General features: G+C 49.8%; 2 long non-coding RNA genes across 2 annotated transcripts in view, besides 4 other annotated features; one reads left to right on the top strand and one right to left on the bottom strand.

Annotated features, from left to right (window-relative positions):
• LINC01841 (long intergenic non-protein coding RNA 1841) overlaps window positions 1-18,551 on the top strand; it is a 58,533-nt gene that overhangs the window by 18,889 nt on the left and 21,093 nt on the right. The window lies entirely within an intron of this gene.
• LINC01842 (long intergenic non-protein coding RNA 1842) lies at window positions 1,189-11,359 on the bottom strand. Its single transcript, NR_134916.1, has 2 exons — window positions 11,083-11,359; window positions 1,189-1,676 (listed from the first exon to the last, which is right to left on the bottom strand). It is a non-coding gene; the product is annotated as a long intergenic non-protein coding RNA 1842 (long non-coding RNA).
• Window positions 5,621-6,121: an enhancer, noted in NCBI's record as "H3K4me1 hESC enhancer chr19:14449793-14450293 (GRCh37/hg19 assembly coordinates)". NCBI's record gives its function as "activates a minimal SCP1, AML or CMV promoter by ChIP-STARR-seq in naive H9 embryonic stem cells {active_cell/tissue: H9 hESC(naive)}" and the evidence as "EXISTENCE:reporter gene assay evidence [ECO:0000049][PMID:30033119]".
• Window positions 6,122-6,622: an enhancer, noted in NCBI's record as "H3K4me1 hESC enhancer chr19:14449292-14449792 (GRCh37/hg19 assembly coordinates)". NCBI's record gives its function as "activates a minimal SCP1, AML or CMV promoter by ChIP-STARR-seq in naive H9 embryonic stem cells {active_cell/tissue: H9 hESC(naive)}" and the evidence as "EXISTENCE:reporter gene assay evidence [ECO:0000049][PMID:30033119]".
• Window positions 7,319-7,519: a silencer, noted in NCBI's record as "peak3382 fragment used in MPRA reporter construct". NCBI's record gives its function as "represses an SCP1 promoter by STARR-seq MPRAs in K562 erythroleukemia cells {active_cell/tissue: K562}" and the evidence as "EXISTENCE:reporter gene assay evidence [ECO:0000049][PMID:32103011]".
• Window positions 10,662-11,337: an enhancer, noted in NCBI's record as "H3K27ac-H3K4me1 hESC enhancer chr19:14444577-14445252 (GRCh37/hg19 assembly coordinates)". NCBI's record gives its function as "activates a minimal SCP1, AML or CMV promoter by ChIP-STARR-seq in naive H9 embryonic stem cells {active_cell/tissue: H9 hESC(naive)}" and the evidence as "EXISTENCE:reporter gene assay evidence [ECO:0000049][PMID:30033119]".

Here is an 18,551-nt window from a genome sequence, read left to right as displayed (position 1 = left end):
CGTACTTGCTCCGAGGTCTGAGTCAAGGCACCATGCCCAAAGCTCTCCCAGAGGGTAGCCTCAAAGCCCTGCCAGCTTCTTGTATGCCCAAGAGGAAAACTGAGGCACAGTCAGGGAAAGGGAGTTAACACCTATTGGAAACTGATTATCTGCAAAGCATTTCACATGCATAAATGCTTAATGAGTTCTTATGCCTACTACATATAAGGAAAGGAATTCATGTTCCCATTTACTGATGAGGAAGCTGAGGCTGGGGTGAGGTCCAGAGCTCTTGTGGAAGCTGATGGCTCTGGGGTCTCCAATACCCATTTCTTTGTTCCTTTCAAATGGCAACCATTCTTGTGTGTTTGTGGTGGGAAGGGGACAGGGCAGGGTATCACTCTGTTGCCCAGGCTGGAGTGCAGTGGCACAATCTCAGCTCACTGCAACCTCTGCCTCCCGTCTCATGGGTTCAAGAGATTCTCCTGCCTCAGCCTCCCAAGTAGCTGGGATTAGAGGTGTGCACCACCATGCCTGGCTAATCTTTGTATTTTTGGTAGACACAGGGTTTCACCATGATGACCAGGCTGGTCTCTGTCACGTGCATCCGTGTGAAAAGGGTCCACCAAACAGGCTTTGCGTGAGCAATAAAGCTTTTTTTTGGGTGCAGGCAGGGCTGAGTCCGAAAAGAGAGTCAGCAAAGGGTGATGGGATTATCATTAGTTCTTATAGGTTTGGGATAGGTGGTGGAGTTAGGTGCAATTTTTTTTTTTCTGAGACTGAGTCTCGCTCTGTCGCCCAGGCTGGAGTGCAGTGGCGCAATCTTGGCTCACTGCAAGCTCCATCTCCCAGGTTCACGCCATTCTCCTGGCTCAGCCTCCCAAGTAGCTGGGACTACAGGCGCCCACCACCATGCCTGGTTAATTTTTTGTATTTTTAGTAGAGACAGGGTTTCACCATGTTAGCCAGGATGGTCTCGATCTCCTGACCTCGTGGTCCACCCACCTCGGCCTCGCAAAGTGCTGGGATTACAGGCATGAGCCACCGCGCCCAGCCAGGAGCAATTTTTTTGCAGGCAGGGGGTGGATCATACAAAGTACATTCTCAAGTTGGGTGGGGAGAATATTACAATCTACCTTCTCAAGGGTGGGGAGGGTGTATCCTACAAAGTACATTCATAAGGGCGGGGGAATATCACAAAGTACATTATTGCAAGGGCGGGGAGGGTATATTGTCACAAAGTCAGTTGAACAGTTAGGGTTGGGCAGGAACAAATCACGATGGTGGGATGTCATCAGTTAAGGAGGAACTGGCTATTTTCACTTCTTTTGTGGATCTTCAGTTGCTTCAGGCCATCTGGATGTATATGCAGGTCACAGGGGATATGATGGCTTAGCTTGGGCTCAGAGGCCTGACAGCCTCGAACTCCTGACCTCAAGTGATTTGCCTGCCTTGGCCTCCCAAAGTGCTGGGATTACAGGCATAAACCACCATGCCTGGCCTCAGATGGCAACCATTCTTAAAGCTCTCCAGGACTGTTGGTGCTCAGCAGTGCCTCAGTTTCCCCTTCTGGTCACATGAGTCCTTCCCAGCAAACCAGCCCTTGGGTGTCTGAAGAATCCCTGCTGCTTGGCAGGGTGCCAGGGTTCTTGTACTTTCCTCCTGTGGATGCTCCAGGCCCAGGGGCCTGGCTGGCTCTGTGAACACAGATATTAATTAGCATTCATTAAAAACCCCCTGTGCGGTGAGAGCGGCTCTGGTAGATCCTCAGGCTCTGAAATACCTAGAAGCTGACTGGGGTCCCCAGAGCGTGGCAGTTGCTGCCTGGACCAAGAGCAGGGCCTATGGGTAGCGCCACCTGAAACGTCTTTTGTCGTTTTTTTGAGATGCAGTCTCGCCATGTTGCCCAGGCCGGTCTCGAACTCCTGACCTCGTGATCTGCCTGCCTTGGCCTCTCAAAGTGCTGGGATTACAGGTGTGAGCCACCACGCCCAGCCTACCTGGAAGGTCTTAACCAGTCAGGGCTTCTCCCTGGCCCAGTCCTGGGGGACTAGGCTGCAGTCCCTGTTTCTCCCTATGGCTATGGAACATTTGTGCTGAAAGAGACCCTCACTCCAACGCCCAGGAGATGGAGCCCGTGGTCCCCCAGAGGGTCCCATGGTCAGCTACCGAGGCTCAAGTCCCTGCTCTGGCACCCACCTGACCTCAGGCAAGTTGCTTACTCGCTCCTTGCCTCCGTTTCCTCATCTATAACATGAAGGTATTTTCTGCCTTGCAAGGTTGTTGGAATACATAAATGACCATGTGCGTTTCATGTCATATACACGTAAGGGCTCAGCAGCCACTGAGACCAGCTCTGCCTCTTACCAGCGGTGTGATCTGCTCACAGGGAATCCATGTACCTGGGTATCAGTTTTCTGTCTGTAAAATGGGGCTATCGACCGGGCACGGTGGCTCATACCTGTAATCCCAGCACTTTGGGAGGCCAAGGCCGGCAGATCACCAGAGGTCAGGAGTTGGAGACCAGCCTGGCCAACATGGCAAAACCCCGTCTCTACTAAAAATACAAAAATTACCCGGGCGTGGTGGCACTTGCCTGTAGGCCCAGCTACTCAGGAGGCTGAGGCAGGAGAATCGCTTGAACCCGGGAGGCAGAAGTTACAGTGAGCCGAGATCGCACCATTTCACTCCAGCCCGGGTGACAGAGCGAGACCGTGTCTCGGAAAAAAAAAAAAAGATATGTTGATTCAGGTGCGGTGGCTCATGCCTGTTCCCAGGCTATAATTTGAATTTTGAGAGGCTAAGGCAGGAGGATTGCTTGAGGCCAGGAGTTTGAGGTTGGTCTGGGCAACCCTATCTCTATTAAAAACACAGCAAGACCCTATCTCTATTAAAAACAAACAAACAAACAAACAACAAAAAACAGAAGGCTGAGTGTAGTGGCTCATGCCTGTAATCCCAGCATTTTGGGAGGCTGAGGTGGGTGGATTGCTTGAGGTCAAGAGTTTGAGACCAGCCTAGGCAACATGGTGAAACTCTGTCTCTACCAAAAATACAAAAATTAGCTGGGCATGGTGGCATGCAGGAGGCAGAGGTTGCAGTGAGTGGAGATCACGTCACTGCACTCCAGCCTGGGCGACAGAGCGAGAGTGTCTCAAAAAAAAAAAAAAATGAAGTCGTAACCCTGGGTTCTCCTGAATGAATTATTTGGAAACAGGGTCTTTGCAGATATAATCAGTTAAGTTAATGTGAGGTCACATTGGATTAGGGTGGGCTCTAAATCCAATATGGCTGGTGTCTTTATTTATTTATTTAATTTTTTTTTTTTTTTAGACAGGGTCTTGCTCTGTTGTCCAGGCTGGAGTGCAGTGGTGCAATCATAGCTCACTGCAGCCTCAATATCCAGGGCTCAGGGGATCCTCCCACCTCAGTCTCCCAAGTAGCTAAGACTACAGGTGAGCACCACCATGCTTGGCTAATTTTGTATATTGTTTTGCAGAGACGGGGTTTTGCTATGTTGCCCAGGCTGGTCTTGAACCCCTGGGCTCAAGCGATCCTCCCACTTTGGCCTCCCAAAGTGCTGGGATTACATGCGTGAACTACTGTACCTGGCTGCACTTCACTTTTTTTTTTAATTTTTGGGACGGAGTCTCACACTGTCGCCCAGGCTGGAGTGCAGTGGTGCGATCCTGGCTCACTGCAACCTCTGCCTCCCGGGTTCAAGCGATTCTCCTGTCTCAGCCTCCTGAGTAGCTGGGACTACAAGCGCATACCACCAAGCCCGGCTAATTTTTGTATTTTTAGTAGAGACAGGGTTTTGCCATGTTGGCCAGGCTGGCTTCAAACTCCTGACCTCAAGTGATCCACCTGCCTCAGCCTCCCAAAGTGCTGGGATTACAGACATGAGCCATTGCACTCGGCCTGCACTTCATGTTTTAATGCACTCTGCCAAGTTGCTCCCCAAAAGTGCTGTGCACGTTGCACTCCCTTCCAAATGGAACCTTTCTAAGAATGTATTTCAAATATAGGTCATAGCTGCCCAGTGATGCTGCATTCTGGTCATAATAGTGGTTTTGTCCAGAGTGAGAGAGGTGCGGAGGCTTTCTTTATTTTGTTTTATTTTATTTTTTAAAAGATGGGGTCTCTCTCTGTCACTCAGGTTGGAGTGCAGTGGTGCGATCATAGCTCACTGCAGCCTCAAACTCCTGGGCTCAAGTGATCCTCCCATCTCAGCCTCCCAAATAGCTGGGCCTATAGGCATGCACTACCATGCTCAGCTAATTCTTTTGTTGTTGTTGTTGAGACGAAGCCTCGCTCTGTCGCCCAGGCTGGAGTGCAGTGGCACAATCTCGGCTCGCTGCAAGCTCCGCCTCCCAGGTTTGTGCCATTCTCCTGCCTCGGCCTCCCGAGTAGCTGAGACTACAGGCGCCCGCCACCACACCCTGCTAATTTTGTTTTGTATTTTTAATAGAGACGGGGTTTTACCATGTTAGCCAGGATGGTCTCAATCTCCTGTGATCCACCCACCTCGGCCTCCCAAAGTGCTGGGATTACAGGCGTGAGCCACCACACCCGGCCAATTCTTTTTTTTAGAGATGGGATCTCACTATGATGCCCAGGCTGGTCTTTTTTTTTTTTTCTTTTTTTTTGACATGGAGTCTCGCTTTGTTGCCCAGACTGGAGTGCAGTGACATGATCTCGGCTCACTGCAGCCTCTGCTTCCTGGGTTCAATTGATTCTCCTGCCTCAGCTTCCCAACTAGTTGGGACTACAGGCATGAGCCACCATGCCCAGCTAATTTTTGTATTTTTAGTAGAGATGAGGTTTCACCATGTTGGCCAGGCTGGTCTTGAACTCCTGGCCTCAAATGATCCTCCTGCCTCTGCCTCACAAAGCACTGGATTACGGGCATGAGCCACCGTGCCTGGCTTTGCAGAGGCTTTCTTAACCTGTTCCTTGGGTATTGAGTCCCTCTCTGGTTTGCCTGAACTCCAAAGGGGCTGGGAGATCTAGGATATGGTTGATCTGAGAGATGATCTCAGTAAGCATGGGTAGGGGAGAAGGAGAGTGAGGAAGGGAAGGGCAGGTAGCCAATGAAGGGTGTTTATGAGCCAGTTTCCACTGTGGGCAACTCAATTATGCTGGAGAATGCTGAAATCAAATAGAGCACACTCTTCAGAGGGTGCCCACCTAGGGGCGAGGGAGCTGGGATATTTATCCACCAACTCCCATCAGCCATTGCTCAAGGTCTGCTCCAGGAGAGTGTTTGTTCTCCATACTTTCCACCCACTCAGCAGCCAGAGCCACTTCTCGGGAGCTGGTTCTTAGAAGCTGTGGGGTCAGCGTGCCCAGGAGTGCGTGGGGGACATGAGTGGGTGTTGACATTCTGGGGAGGGGGAGACAGAGGATAAAAAGAACAAATAAAGCATAGAGCATGTTCAAAAGGGGCCGGGCGCAGTGGCTCACACCTGTAATCCCAGCAATTTGGGAGGCCAAGACAGGCGGATCACTTGGGATCAGGAGTTTGAGACCAGCCTGGCCAACCTGGTGAAACTCCCTCTCTACTAAAAAAAAATACAAAAATTAGCCAGGTGGTGGTGTGCACCTGTAATCCCAGCTACTCAGGAGGCTGAGGTGGGAGAATCGATTGAATCCGGGAGGCGGAGGTTGCAGTGAGCCGAGATCACGCACCTGCACCCCAGCCTGGGCGACAGAGTAAGACCCTGTCTCAACAAAACAAAACAAAACAAAACAAAACAAAAACAAAAAGGGGTAAGTGTTGGGGACAAAAAGAAAATTAGACCAGCCCAAGATAAGGCGAAGAGGCTGTGGGGGAAGGTTCCTAGCATCCAACTTGGCACCCAGTAGGCGACAATAAATGTTCTGTTGCTTCTCTCTGGTCCATGGGGTGAAGGAGAGAGAGAGAGAGAATGCCCTGGTGTAGTGGGAGCCTGGGCAGGGGAGGAGGAAAGTGGGGAGGGAGCCAGTGTTAATGATGCTGAAAAGTAATCGGCCCTTCTCTCTGGGAGGCGGTGAAACTCTAATTAGAATGAAAATGTAGTTTAATGAGGATGAAAACGGTAATTGTGCCAGGCAGCGCAGTTCAGAAGTGTCGCTTTCCCTTGGGGCACCTTGCTGGCCTCTGAGGCTCTGGGCATGGGTGAGAAGGACTCAGGGCTGGGAAGGCAGGGGATTGTCAGTGCCTCAGTTTCCCCCCAAAGTGTCCTCCCGCTGGCATGGGGTAAAGAGCCTGTGTAGAGCCCCACGTGCCCCTGGGGCTGGTTCCAGGTGCCCAGAGCAACGTTTTTCCATCCCACACTTTATTCCTATTAATAATACAACCATCCGTGGAACCATATCAGTGATGCCATTTATTGAGTGCCTACTATGTGCCAGGTACCATTCTAACCCCTTCACAGATGCTAACTCAGGTAATCCTTAAAATTATCCTCATTTTACAGATGGGAACACTGAGGCACAGATAAACCATTGACCCTGGTAGGGATATTTTAAAGAGCGGGTGAGGGCCGGGCGTGGTGGCTCACACCTGTAATCCCAGCACTTTGGGAGGCTGAGGCGGGCGGACCACTTGAGGTCAGGAGTTCAAGACTAGCCTGAAAAACATGGCAAAACCCCATCTCTACTAAAAATACAAAAATTAGCCGGAGGTAGTGGTGCGTGTTTGTAGTCCCAGCTACTTGGGAGGCTGAGGCAGGAGAATAGCTTGAACTCAGGAGGCGGAGGTTGCAGTGAGCCGAGATGGTGCCACTGTACTCCAGCCTGGATGACAGAGAAGGACTCCGTCTCAAAAAAAAAAAAAAAAAAAAGAGTGGGTGAGGAGAAAGGTGGAATACAGTAGCCAGGTGCCTCCTTCTTTCTTTTTTTTATTTTCTTTTTCTTTTTTCTTTTCTTTTCTTTTCTTTTTTTTTTTTTTTTTTTGAGACAGTCTTGCTTTGTTGCCCAGGCTGGAGTGAAGTGGTGTGATCTCGGCTCACTGCAACCTTCGCCTGCTGAGTTCAAGCGATTCTCGTGCCTCAGCCTCTTGAGTAGCTGGGATTACAGGCATACACGACCACACCGGCTGATTTTTGTATTTTTAGTAGAGATGGGGTTTTGCCATGTTGATCAGGCTGGTCTTGAACTCCTGGCCTCAAGTTCAAGATTTGCCTGCCTCGGCCTCCCAAAGTGCTGGGATTACAGGAGTGAGTCATTGCGCCCAGCTATCCTTTCTTTAACCAGGTGGGTGCTAGGGGCATGAAGGAATTGCCAGCCATCGAGGCCAGGGGATCTTCTCCCTCCTCCTCCCCCTGGCCCAGGATCCTCACTATTTCGGTTCTTCACTTCTTTTTAATGCTCTAATCACGCCTCTCTCTTTAATGCTCTAATCACACCTCTCCACTCGAAGGTGGGCGTGGCTAGACGATTGGTGGGCGTAGCTAGATGAGAGGGCGTGGTTTATGTACAGTGGGCATGGTTTGATACACAGTGGGCGTGGCTAGAAGCGCATTCTGCGTGGCAGAATTTACCAACCCATCTTAACTTGGAGGAATCAGAAACTGGAGCCATAGCAGTAAACTACAGAACCCAGACACAAAGCCGTGGCTTCTGGCCCCAGGGCCTGAGCTTTCTTGCCATGGAAAGCTGAAGGGTTCTTCAAGTGTTCTGGGTAAGACTGAGGTTCATAAGATCTCAAAGTCTCTGCTTTTGTTTCTGGAGGAACCGCCAATAAAATGCAACCTGCAATGAGGCCTAGACAGAAGAGAAATGTTCATTGAGGCCAGTTGGGCAATAAAAGGAGATCTAGCTGGAGTCCCAGATCAGAGGAGATAGCCAGCCTGGGCAACATAGTGAGACCCCATCCCTACAAAAATAATTTTTAAAAATTTATCTGGGCATGGTGGCACACACCTGTGGTCCCAGCTACTCAGGAGGCTGAGGCAGGAGGATGGCTTGAGCCCAGGAGGTTGATGCTGCAGTGATTGCGGTGAGCTATTATGGTGCCACTGCATTCCAGCCTGGGCAACGGAGTGAGGCTCTATCTCAAGAAAAAAAAGGAAAAGAAAAGATCAAGGGAGATTAGATTGTTTGCCACGTATATGGCAGACAAATCATTAAGAGCCTTAATATACAAAAAGCACATATGAATCAATAAGAAAAAAAAGACAAACATCCCAAATGTGAAATTGGCACAGGGCTTGAATAGGGGGTTCACAAAGGAGTGAGAGCTTAACAAACCTCTGTAAAGATGCTCAATCTGACCGTTCAGCTGAAGAATCACTTTTCCTTGTCAAGCTTATGAGTGTGTGTGAAGTTTTGGGAATGCACACTTGAGCACGGTCATGGGAGTTTAAATTGACACAACTTTTTTTTTTTTAATTTTTTGAGACAGGGTCTCACTATGTCACCCATGCTGGAGTGCAGTGGCACAATCACGGCTCACTGCAGCCTCAACCTCCTAGGCTTAAGGAATCCTCCCACCTCAGCCTGCCAAATAGCTGACTACAGGTACAGGTCACCACACCCAGCTAATTTTTTAAAAACTTTTTGTAACATGGGGTCTCACGACTTGCCCAGGCTGGTCTCAAACTCCTGATCTCAAGTGATCCTCCCTCCTCGGCCACCCAAAGTGCTAGGATTACAGATGTCAGCCACCGCACCCGGCCACGATACAACTTTCTTGGGATGGTGTTCTAGATATTAGTATTAAACCTTTAAGCATGTGGATTCTCTGACCCAGCAAATCCACCTCTAGGAATTTATGTCAGGGATATAATCAGTCAAATAGGTGGAGAACTATAAAGAATAGGCTGGGCACGGTGGCTCACGCCTGTAATCCCAGCACTTTGGGAGGCTGAGGCGGGCAGATCACCTGAGGTCAGGAGTTCGAGACCAGGTTGGCCAACATGGTGAAACGCCGTCTCTACTAAAAATACAAAAATCAGCCGGGCGTGGTGGCAGGCGCCTGTAATCCCAGCTACTCGGGAGGCTGAGGCAGGAGAATTGCTTGAACCTGGGAGGCAGAGGTTGCAGTGAGCCGATATTGTACCATTGCACTCCAGCCTGGGGGACAAGAGCAAGACTTCGTCTCAAAAAAAGAAAAGAAAAGAAAAGAATAACTAACACAGGGTGGTTAAGAGCTCTGGAATCAGACAGCCAGGGTTCGAATTCTGGCTTCACCACCTTCAAGCTGTGTGACCTAAGTCATATGGTTTATTGTTACGGTTCCCAGATTTTCTCATCAGTAAAATGGGCCTCTCATGAGGACTCCATGAGGCAAAGTGTGTGAAATGCTTAGCCTTCTGCCAGGCACATAGAGGATGCTTGCTGTTACCATCATTAAGAAAAGCTTTAAAAGAGGCTGGAAACAATGGAGGTACCTGGGCTCTGGGGATTGGCTACATGCATAGTAGAAAATGAAAGTGGGCTGGGCATGGTGGCTCATGCCTGTAATCCCAGCACTTTGGGAGGCCCAGGTGGGAGGATCGCCTGAGCCCAGGAGTTCAAGACTAGCCTGGGCAACATAGCCAGATCCCAACTCTACAAAAACTAAAAAATTAGCCAGGCATGGTGGCACATGTCTGTACTTCCAGCTACTTGGGAGGCTGAGGGGGGAGGATTGCTTGAGCCCAAGGAGGTGGAGGCTGCAGTGAGCGCATATCGCACCACTGCACTCCAACCTGGGTGACAGAATGAGAACCTGTCTCAACAAAGAAAAGGAAATTAAAAGCTGGGTGTGGTGGCTGACACCTGTAATCTCAGCACTTTGGGAGGCTGAGGTGGGCGGATCACTTGAGGTCACGAGTTCGAGACCAGCCTGGCCAACTTGGTGAAACCCTGTCTCTACTAATAATACAAAAATTAGCTGGATGTGTTGGTGGGTGCCTGTAATCCCAGCTACTTGGGAGGTGAGGCAGGAGAATCGCTTGAACCCAGGAGGTGAAAGTTGCAGTGAGCCGAGATCTCGCCACTGCACTCCAGCCTGGGTGATAAGGTGGCTCAGTCTCAAAAAAAAGAAAAGAAAATTCAAGTGCTAAAACTTATATTCATTGACACAGCGTGACCTCTGTGATATATTAATTAAAAAAAAAAGAAAACCAATTTCAAACATCATATATAACCACATCTTTCAAGCACTTTGATCACAAATCAAAGAATTAATTTTTTACATTGCAACGTAGGCCTTCTACCCAGGTTTGGAACTAAAACAAAAGTTTCAGGAAGTCATAGTCATATTTCTACTGTGCAGTGGGTTCTGATATTTTCTAGTCTCTTTTGTTCCATTTTAAAAGGCTGGTCGTTTTTGCAATTACAGTATTTTTCTCTTTAAGGTTCTGGTTAATGTAACCCTGTAACCCAGACTCCCAGTAAAAAGGGTGTCTAGATAGTGACTAAGGAAAGGATGAAGGAAGACAGGGAAAGTGGTATTTCCAATCCACTAGGCTTGAATTTTTTTTTTTTTTTTTTTTTTTTGAGACGGAGTTTCGCTTTTGTAGCCCAGGCTGGAGTGCAATGGCACGATCTTGGCTCACTGCAAGCTCCGCCTCCCAGGTTCAAGCAATTCTCCTGCCTCAGCCTCCCGAGTGGCTGGGATTACAGGCGCCCGCCACCACACCCGGCTAAGAGTGTGTGTGTGTGTGTGTGTGTGTGTGTGTGTGTGTTTAGTAGAGACGGGGTTTCACCATGTTGGCCGGGCTGGTCACAAACTCCTGGGGTTACAGGCGTGAGTCACCGCACCTAGCCTCTTTTTTTTTTTTTTTTTTTTTTTTTGAGACGGAGTCTTGCTCTGTCGCCCAGGTTGGAGTGCAGTGGCGCGATCTCGGCTCACTGCAAGCTCCGCCTCCTGGGTTGACGCCATTCTCCTGCCTCAGCCTCCTGAGTAGCTGGGACTACAGGCGCCCGCCACCACGCCTGGCTAATTTTTTGTATTTTTAGTAGAGACGGGTTTTCACCGTGTTAGCCAGGATGGTCTCAATCTCCTGACCTTGTGATCTGCCGGTCTTGGCCTCCCAAAGTGCTGGGATTACAGGCGTGAGCCACCGCGCCCAGCCTTTTTTTTTTTTTTTTTTTTTTTTTTTTTTTTTTAATATAGTGATGCGGTCTTACCATGTTGTCCAGGCTGTTCTCAAGCTCCTGGGCTCAAGCGATCCTCCTGTCTTGCCATCCCAAAGTGCTGGGTTTGCAGGCCTGAGCAACTGCGCCTGGCAGTGGTAACTCTTGAATGGGGGAAAAGTGGGCACAGACAAGCCCCACGATGGTCCAGCCTCCAAAGCGCAGCCGCCTGGGTCTTCCCCTCCAGCCTCCGGGACAAGGGGAATCTCAGTGGCTGAAACTTCTGGGGATGGAGGAGGAGCGGCATCCGGGGAGGGTGAGCCGAGCCCGGCGTGCGGCTCCGGAGGAGGCTCCGCCCGGCTCGGGTCCCCTCCCAGGGGCTGGGCTGGCGGGAAGGGCCCGGGCTGCCGGGCAGGCAGAAACGGAGCCTGGGAGTCTGCTATCGACCGCCTGGGCGGCGGTAGGGAAGCTTTTAGATCTGCCCGCTCGTCCCGGAGGGGGGCAAGGGCGAGGCTCCCCCTCCCCTAAAGAGCGGAGGCCCGGGGGGTTTCCTGTCACCCCTACAGGCCACCCACCAGCAAGGCTTGCAGGCTAGCCTCCGAACTGAGCCCAAAATCCGGTTGCTGGAATTGGAATTACTTTTCCTGGAACTTTATTGAGAGTTAATTTACATGCGGTGAAGTCCCAAGCCTGCACATATTATTTGCATGCACGACCCCGTGTCCCCACCCCATCAAAGTAAGGAACACTTCCATTCAGACGGCCCAGAAATCAATGTCCCTTCATCCATTCCCCACCCACAGCCACTCCACTGATTTTTTTTTTTTTTTTTTTTTTTTTTTGAGATGGAGTTTTGCTCTTGTTGCCCAGGCTGGAGTGCAATGGCACGATCTGGGCTCACCGCAACCTCTGCCTCCCGGGTTCTAGCGATTCTCCTGCCTCAGCCTCCTGAGTAGTTGGGATTACAGGCATGCACCACCATGCCCAGCTAATTTTTGTATTTTTAGTACAGATGGGGTTTCACCATGCTGGTCAGGCTGGTCTCAAACTCCCAACCTTAGATGATCCGCCCGCCTCGGCCTCCCAAAGCACTGGGATTACAGGTGTGAGCCACCAGGCCCGGCCTGATTTTTCTTTTCTTTTCTTTTTTTTTTTGTTTTTTGTTTTTTGAGACAGAGTCTCGCTCTGTCAGCCAGGCTGGAGTGTAGTGGTGCGATCTCGGCTCACTGCAAGCTCTGCCTCCCAGGTTCACGCCATTCTTCTGCCTCAGCCTCCCGACAAGCTGGGACTACAGGCGCCGGCCACCACGTCCGGCTAATTGTTTTTTGTATTATTTAGTAGAGACGGGGTTTCATCATGTTAGCCAGGATGGTCTCGATCTCCTGACCTCGTGATCCGCCTGCCTCGGCCTCCCAAAGTGCTGGGATTACAGGCGTGAGCCACCGTGCCCGGCCTCTTTTCTTTTCTTTTTAGAAACAGGGTCTTGCTCTGTTGCCCAGGCTGGAGTGCAGTGGTGCAACCATAGCTCACCGAAGCCTCTACCTCCTAGGCTCAAGCAATTCTCCTGTCTCAGCCTCTGAGTAGCTGGAACTACAGGCCCTCACCACCAAGCCCAGCTAATTTTTGTATTTTTTGTAGAGACAGACAGGGTCTTGCTGTTATCCAGGCTGATGTTGAATTCCTGGCCTCAAGCGATCCTCCTGTCTCAGCCTCCCAAAGTGCTGAGATTACAGGTGTGAGCCATAGGGTGGGGCCCACTATCCTGAATTCTTTTTGTGTGTGTGACAGTTTCACTCTGTTGCCCAGGCTGGAGTGCAGTGGCACGATCTCAGCTCACTGCACCCTCCACTTCCCAGGGTCAAGCGATTCTCATGTCTCAGTCTCCAAAGTAGCTGAAATTACAGGCACACGCCACCACACCCCGCTGATTTTTGTATTTTTTGTAAAGATGGGGTTTTGACATGTTGGCCAAGCTGGTCTTAAAGTCCTGGCCTCAAGTGATCTGCCCACCTCGGCCTCCCAAAGTGCTGGGATTATAGGCGTGAGTCACTGCACCTGGCTACTATTCTGATTTCTATCACCTTAGATTAGTTGAGCCTTTTGCAAAATTTCAGATAAATAAAATCACACAGTGTGGTCTCTCTTCCACTCAGCATCATGCATTCTGAGATTTATCAACATTGTGTGAATCAGTAGTTTGTTCCTTTTTGTTGCTAAGAATTACTACATCCTATGGATGGGCCTTAATTTATATTCTCCTGTCTGTAGATATTTTGATTGTTTCCAGTTTTTCAGCAATAATTGAACAAATCTGCTATGAACATTTGCCAACAAGTCTTTATATGGATATATTCTTTCTTTTCTCTTGGGTAAATGTATAGCAATGGAATTGCTGGGATGAATGGTAAGTCTAACTTTATTTTTTAAAATTAATTATTTTATATATTTTTTGAGATGGAGTCTCACTCTGTCACCCAGGCTGGCCTGCAGTGGCATGATCTTGGCTCACTGCAACCCCCACTTCCCTGGTTCAAGCGATTCCCCTGCCTCAGCCTCATGAGTAGCTGGAATTACAGGTGCCCACCACCACACCCGGCTAATTTCTTTTGTATATTTAGTAGAGACGAGGTTTCACCATGTTGGCCAGATTGGTCTCGAACTCCTGACCTCAGGCAATCTGCCTGCCTTGGCCTCCCAATGTAACTTTATTTTAAAAACTGTTTCCCGGCTAGGCGCGGTGGCTCACGCCTGTAATCCCAGCACTTTGGGAGGCTGAGGCAGGCAGATCATGAGGTCAGGAGATCTAGACCATCTTGGCTAACATGGTGAAACCCCGTCTCTGCTAAAAATACAAAAAATTAGCTGGGCGTGGTGGTTCGTGCCTGTAGTCCCAGCTACTCCAGAGGCTGAGGCAAGAGAATCGCTTGAACCTGGGAAGCGGAGGTGGCAGTGAGCGGATATTGTGCTACTGCACTCCAGCCTGGGCAACAGAGCAAGATTCCGTCTTAAAAATAAATAAATAAAAATAAAAATTGTTTTCCAAAGTGGTTGTGCCATTTCACATGCAAACCAGCAGCAGATGAGCAAGCTATTCTGCCTCAGCCTCCCGAGTAGCTGGGATTACAGACATGCGCCACCACGCCCGGCTAATTTTTTGTATTTTTAGTAGAGACAGGGTTTCACCATCTTGGCCAGGATGGTCTTGCTCTTTTGACCTCGTGATCTGCCCGCCTCGGTCTCCCAAAGTGCTGGGATTACAGGCATGAGCCACCGCACCTGGCCTTTTTTTTTTTTTTTTTTTTTTTTGAGATGGAGTCTCTTTGTCGCCCAGGCTGGAGTGCAGTGGTGGTGATCTCGGTTCATTACAACCTCCACCTCTCAGGTTTACATGAGTCTCCTGCCTCAGCCTCCTGAGTAGCTGGGATGACAGGAGTGTGCCACCATGCTGGGCTAATTTTTGTATTTTTAGTAGATACGGGGTTTTACCACATTGGCCAGGCTGGTCTCGAACTCCTGACCTCACGTGATCCACCCGCCTCAGCTGGGATTACAGGTGTGTTAATTTTTTATTTTTGTAAAGATGGGGTCTCACTATGTTTCCCAAGCTGGTCTCCAACTCCTGGCCTCAAGCCATCCTCCCACCTCGGTGCTGAGATTACAAGCGTGAGCCACTGTGCCCTGCTCACCCAACTTTTAGAATAATGAGCTTTCAGTGGGGTGTGGCGGCTCACACCTGTAATCCCAGCACTTTGGCAGGCCGAGACAGGTGGATGACCTGACGTCAGGAGTTCGAGACCAGCCTGGCCAACATGGTGAAACCCCGTCTCTATTAAAAATGCAAAAATTAGCTGGGTGTGGTGGTGCACCCCTGTCATCCCAGCTACTTGGAGGCTGACGTGGGAGAAATGCTTGTACCTGGGAGGCGGAGGTTGTAGTGAGCCAAGATCGTGCCACTGTACTCCAGCCTGGGTGACAGAGCGATACCCCATCTCAAAAAAAAAAAGAGATTTCTTAAATCAAATACCAGATACCATATTACTTCAGTAGGTATCGTAGGAATCTTAAATCAGATGACATCATGTGTTGGCTTGAAATTGCACTGTGGTTTCTCATGGTTCTTAGAAAAAATTCAGAAAGTTACTTCTCATAGGGTCCCCAGGACCACTGCTGGCCTCTCTGTCTTCATGTTCTAACTCTCCCGCCCCCAAATTCCTGCTCCAGCCACACTGCACTCCCTCTTGTCCTGACCACATGGCTTCGCTTGTTCCTGCTTCAAGGCTTTTGCACTTGCCGTTCCTTCTGCCTGGAATGCTGTTCCCCCTGATGGTTGCTGTGGGAGGCAGTATCTAAGACAGCCTCCAAGGGTCCCTGCCTCCTGGCCTTCAGGCCTTTGTCTAATCCCCTCCCCTTGAGTGTGGGCTGGATCTAGCAACTCATTTCTTTTTTTTCTTTTTTTGAGACAGAGTCTCACTCTGTCACCCAGGCTGGAGTGCAGCGGCGTGATCTCAGCTCACTGCAACCTCAGCCTCCCGGGTTCAAGTGATTCTCCTGCCTCAGCCTCCCGAGTAGCTGAGACTACAGGCTTGAGCCACCACGCTCAGCTAATATTTGTATTTTTAGTAGAAATGAAGTTTCACTAGGTTGGCCAGGCTGGTCTCCAACTCCTGACCTCAGGTGATCCACCCATCTCGGTCTCCCAAAGGGCTGGGATTACAGGCATGAGCCATCGCGCCCAGCCGAGGGGCTCCTTTCTAACCAAAGAACATGGCAAAAATGATGGATGTCACTTCTAAGATTAGGTTATAAAAGACCGTGATGTCTGGGCCGGGCATGGTGGCTCATGCCTGTAATGCCAGCACTTTGGGAGGCTGAGGCAGGCAGATCGCTTGAGGTCAGGAGTTCGAGACCAGCCTGGCCAACATGGTGAAACCCCGTCTGTACTAAAAACACAAAAATTAGCCGGGTGTGTTGGTGCCTGTAGTCCCACCTACTGGGGAGGCTCAGGCATGAGAATCGCTTGAACCCAGAAGGCAGAGGATGCAGTGGGCTGAGATCGCGCCACTGCACTCCAGCCTGGGCAACAGAGTGAGACTCCATCTCAAACAAAACAAAACAAAACCATGATGTCTGTCCTGCTGAATTCCCTCCTTCTTGTCAGCACTCTGTCTTGCCCACTGGCTGGCTTGCTCTGATGAAGTCAGTGCCCATGTTCTCAGATGCTCTTTGGAGAGACCCACGTGTCAAGGAACTGAGACTAGCCTTCAGCCAACAGCCAGTGGGGAACTGAATTCTGACAACAGCCACATGTGTGAGCTTGGAAGTGGGTCCTTCCCAGTTGAACCTTGGGAAGGCTATAGCCCAGCAGATGCCTTGACTACAGACTTGTGAGTGGCCCTAAGCCACATCCAGATTTCTGACCCACAGACACTGTGAGATAATCCATGTTGCTGAGATTTTGGGGGTGGGGCAATTTGTTAGGCAGCCATAACTGACTAATACAACTCCCTCACCTCCTTCAACTCTTTGCTCAAGAGTCACCTTCAGGCCAGGCGCAGTGACTCATGCCCGTAATCCCAGCACTTTGGGTGGCCGAGGCAGGCAGATCGCTCGAGGTCAGGAGTTCAAGACCAGCCTGGCCAACGTGGTGAAACCCTGTCTCTACTAAAAATACAAAAGATTATCCAGGCATGGAGGCGCGTGCCTGTAGTCCCAGCTACTCAGGAGGCTGATGCAGGAGAATCGCTTGAACACAGGAGGCAGAGGCTGCAGTGAGCTGAGATTGGGCCACTGCATTCCAGCCTGGGCAACAGAGCGAGACTGTCTCAAAAAAAAAAAAAAAAAAAAAAAAAGGAGTCACCTTCCCAGTGAGGCCTTCCCTGGACACCCAATTAAAATTGCAACCCCGATCCTCAGCACTTCCTGTTTGTCTCCCTTGCTTTTTTTTTTTTTTTTTTTTTCCTTTTTTGAGATGGAGTCTTACTCTGTTGCCCAGGCTGGAGTGCAATGGTGCAATCTCAGCTCACTGTAGCCTCTGCCTCCCAGGTTCAAGCAATTCTCCTGCCTCAGCCTCCCAGGTAGCTAGGACTACAGGTGCATGCCACCACGCCTGGCTAATTTTTTTTGTATTTTTAGTAGAGACAGAGTTTCACCATGTTGACCAGGATGGTCTCAATCTCTTGACCTTGTGATCTGCCCGCCTCGGCCTCCCAAAGTGCTGGGATTACAAGCATGAGCCACTGGGCCCAGCCTATTTTTTTCTTTACTTTATTTTCCTTGTTGAACCTACCACTTATTTTATTTAACTAACTCATTGTCGCCTTCCCCCACTGGAATGTTGTCTCTGTGAGGACAAGGGACTTTGTCTGTTTTGTTTACTGAATTTAATGAATTAATTTTAATTTTTATTTTTTGAGTTGGGGTCTTGCTCTGCTGCCCAAGCTGGACTGCAGTGACACAATCATAGCTCACTGCAGCCTTGATCTCCTGAGCTCGAGCAGTCCTCCCACCTTGGCCTCCCAAAGTGCTGAGATTACAGATGTGAGCCACTGTGCCTAGCTTAAAGGGCAATTTCTATTTTATTGATTGATTGATTGATTGATTGAGACAGGGTCTCATTTTGTCGCCCATGCTGCAGTACAATGGTGTGATCATAGTTCACTGCAGCCTCAACCTCCTGGGTTCAAGCCATCCTCCAGTCTCAAACTCACATAATCAGCTGGGGCAACAGACATCTGCCAACACACCTGGCTAAATTTTTACATTTTTTTTTTCTTTAGACAGAGTCTTGCTCTGTTGCCCAGGCTGGAGTGCAGTGGCCAGTGACGCAATCTCGGCTCCCTGCAAGCTCCGCCTCTCGGGTTCACACCATTCTTCTGCCTCAGCCTCCTGACAAGCTGGGACTATAGGCACCTGTCACCACGCCCAGCTAATTTTTTTGTATTTTTAGTACAGACAGGGTTTCACTGTGTTAGCCAGGATGGTCTCGATATCCTGACCTCGTGATCTGCCTGCCTCAGCCTCCCAAAGTGCTGGGATTACAGGCGTGAGCCACCGCGCCCAGCGATTTTTAAATTTTTTGTAGAGACGAGTTCTCACTATGTTACCCAGGCTGGTCTTGAACTCCTGGCCTCAAGCAACCCTACTGCCTTGGCCTCCCAAAGTGTTGAGACTACAGGCATGAGCCACCATGTCTGAACTGTTTACTGGATTTTGTTTTTTTTTTGAGACGGGGTCTCGTTGTGATGCCCAGGCTGGAGTGCAGTGGCGTGATCTCGGCTCACTGCAACCTCCACCTTCTGGGTTCAATCAATTCTCCTGCCCCAGCCTCCTGAGTAGCTGGGACTACAGAAGCGCACTGCCATGCTCAGCTAATTTTGGAGACGGGGGTTTCACCATGTTGCCCAGGCTGGTCTCGAACTCCTGACCTCAAGTGATCTGCCCGCTTCTGCCTCCCAAAGTGCTGGGATTACAGGTTTGAGCCACCTTGCTCAGCAGTTTTTTTTTTTTAACATGGAGTCTCACTC

This window comes from Homo sapiens, chromosome 19 (genome assembly GCF_000001405.40).
Source record: "Homo sapiens chromosome 19, GRCh38.p14 Primary Assembly".
Classification (NCBI taxonomy): Eukaryota; Metazoa; Chordata; class Mammalia; order Primates; family Hominidae; genus Homo; species Homo sapiens.
Note: the sequence above shows the minus strand (reverse complement) of the source record. Positions and strands in the feature narration are given on the sequence as shown.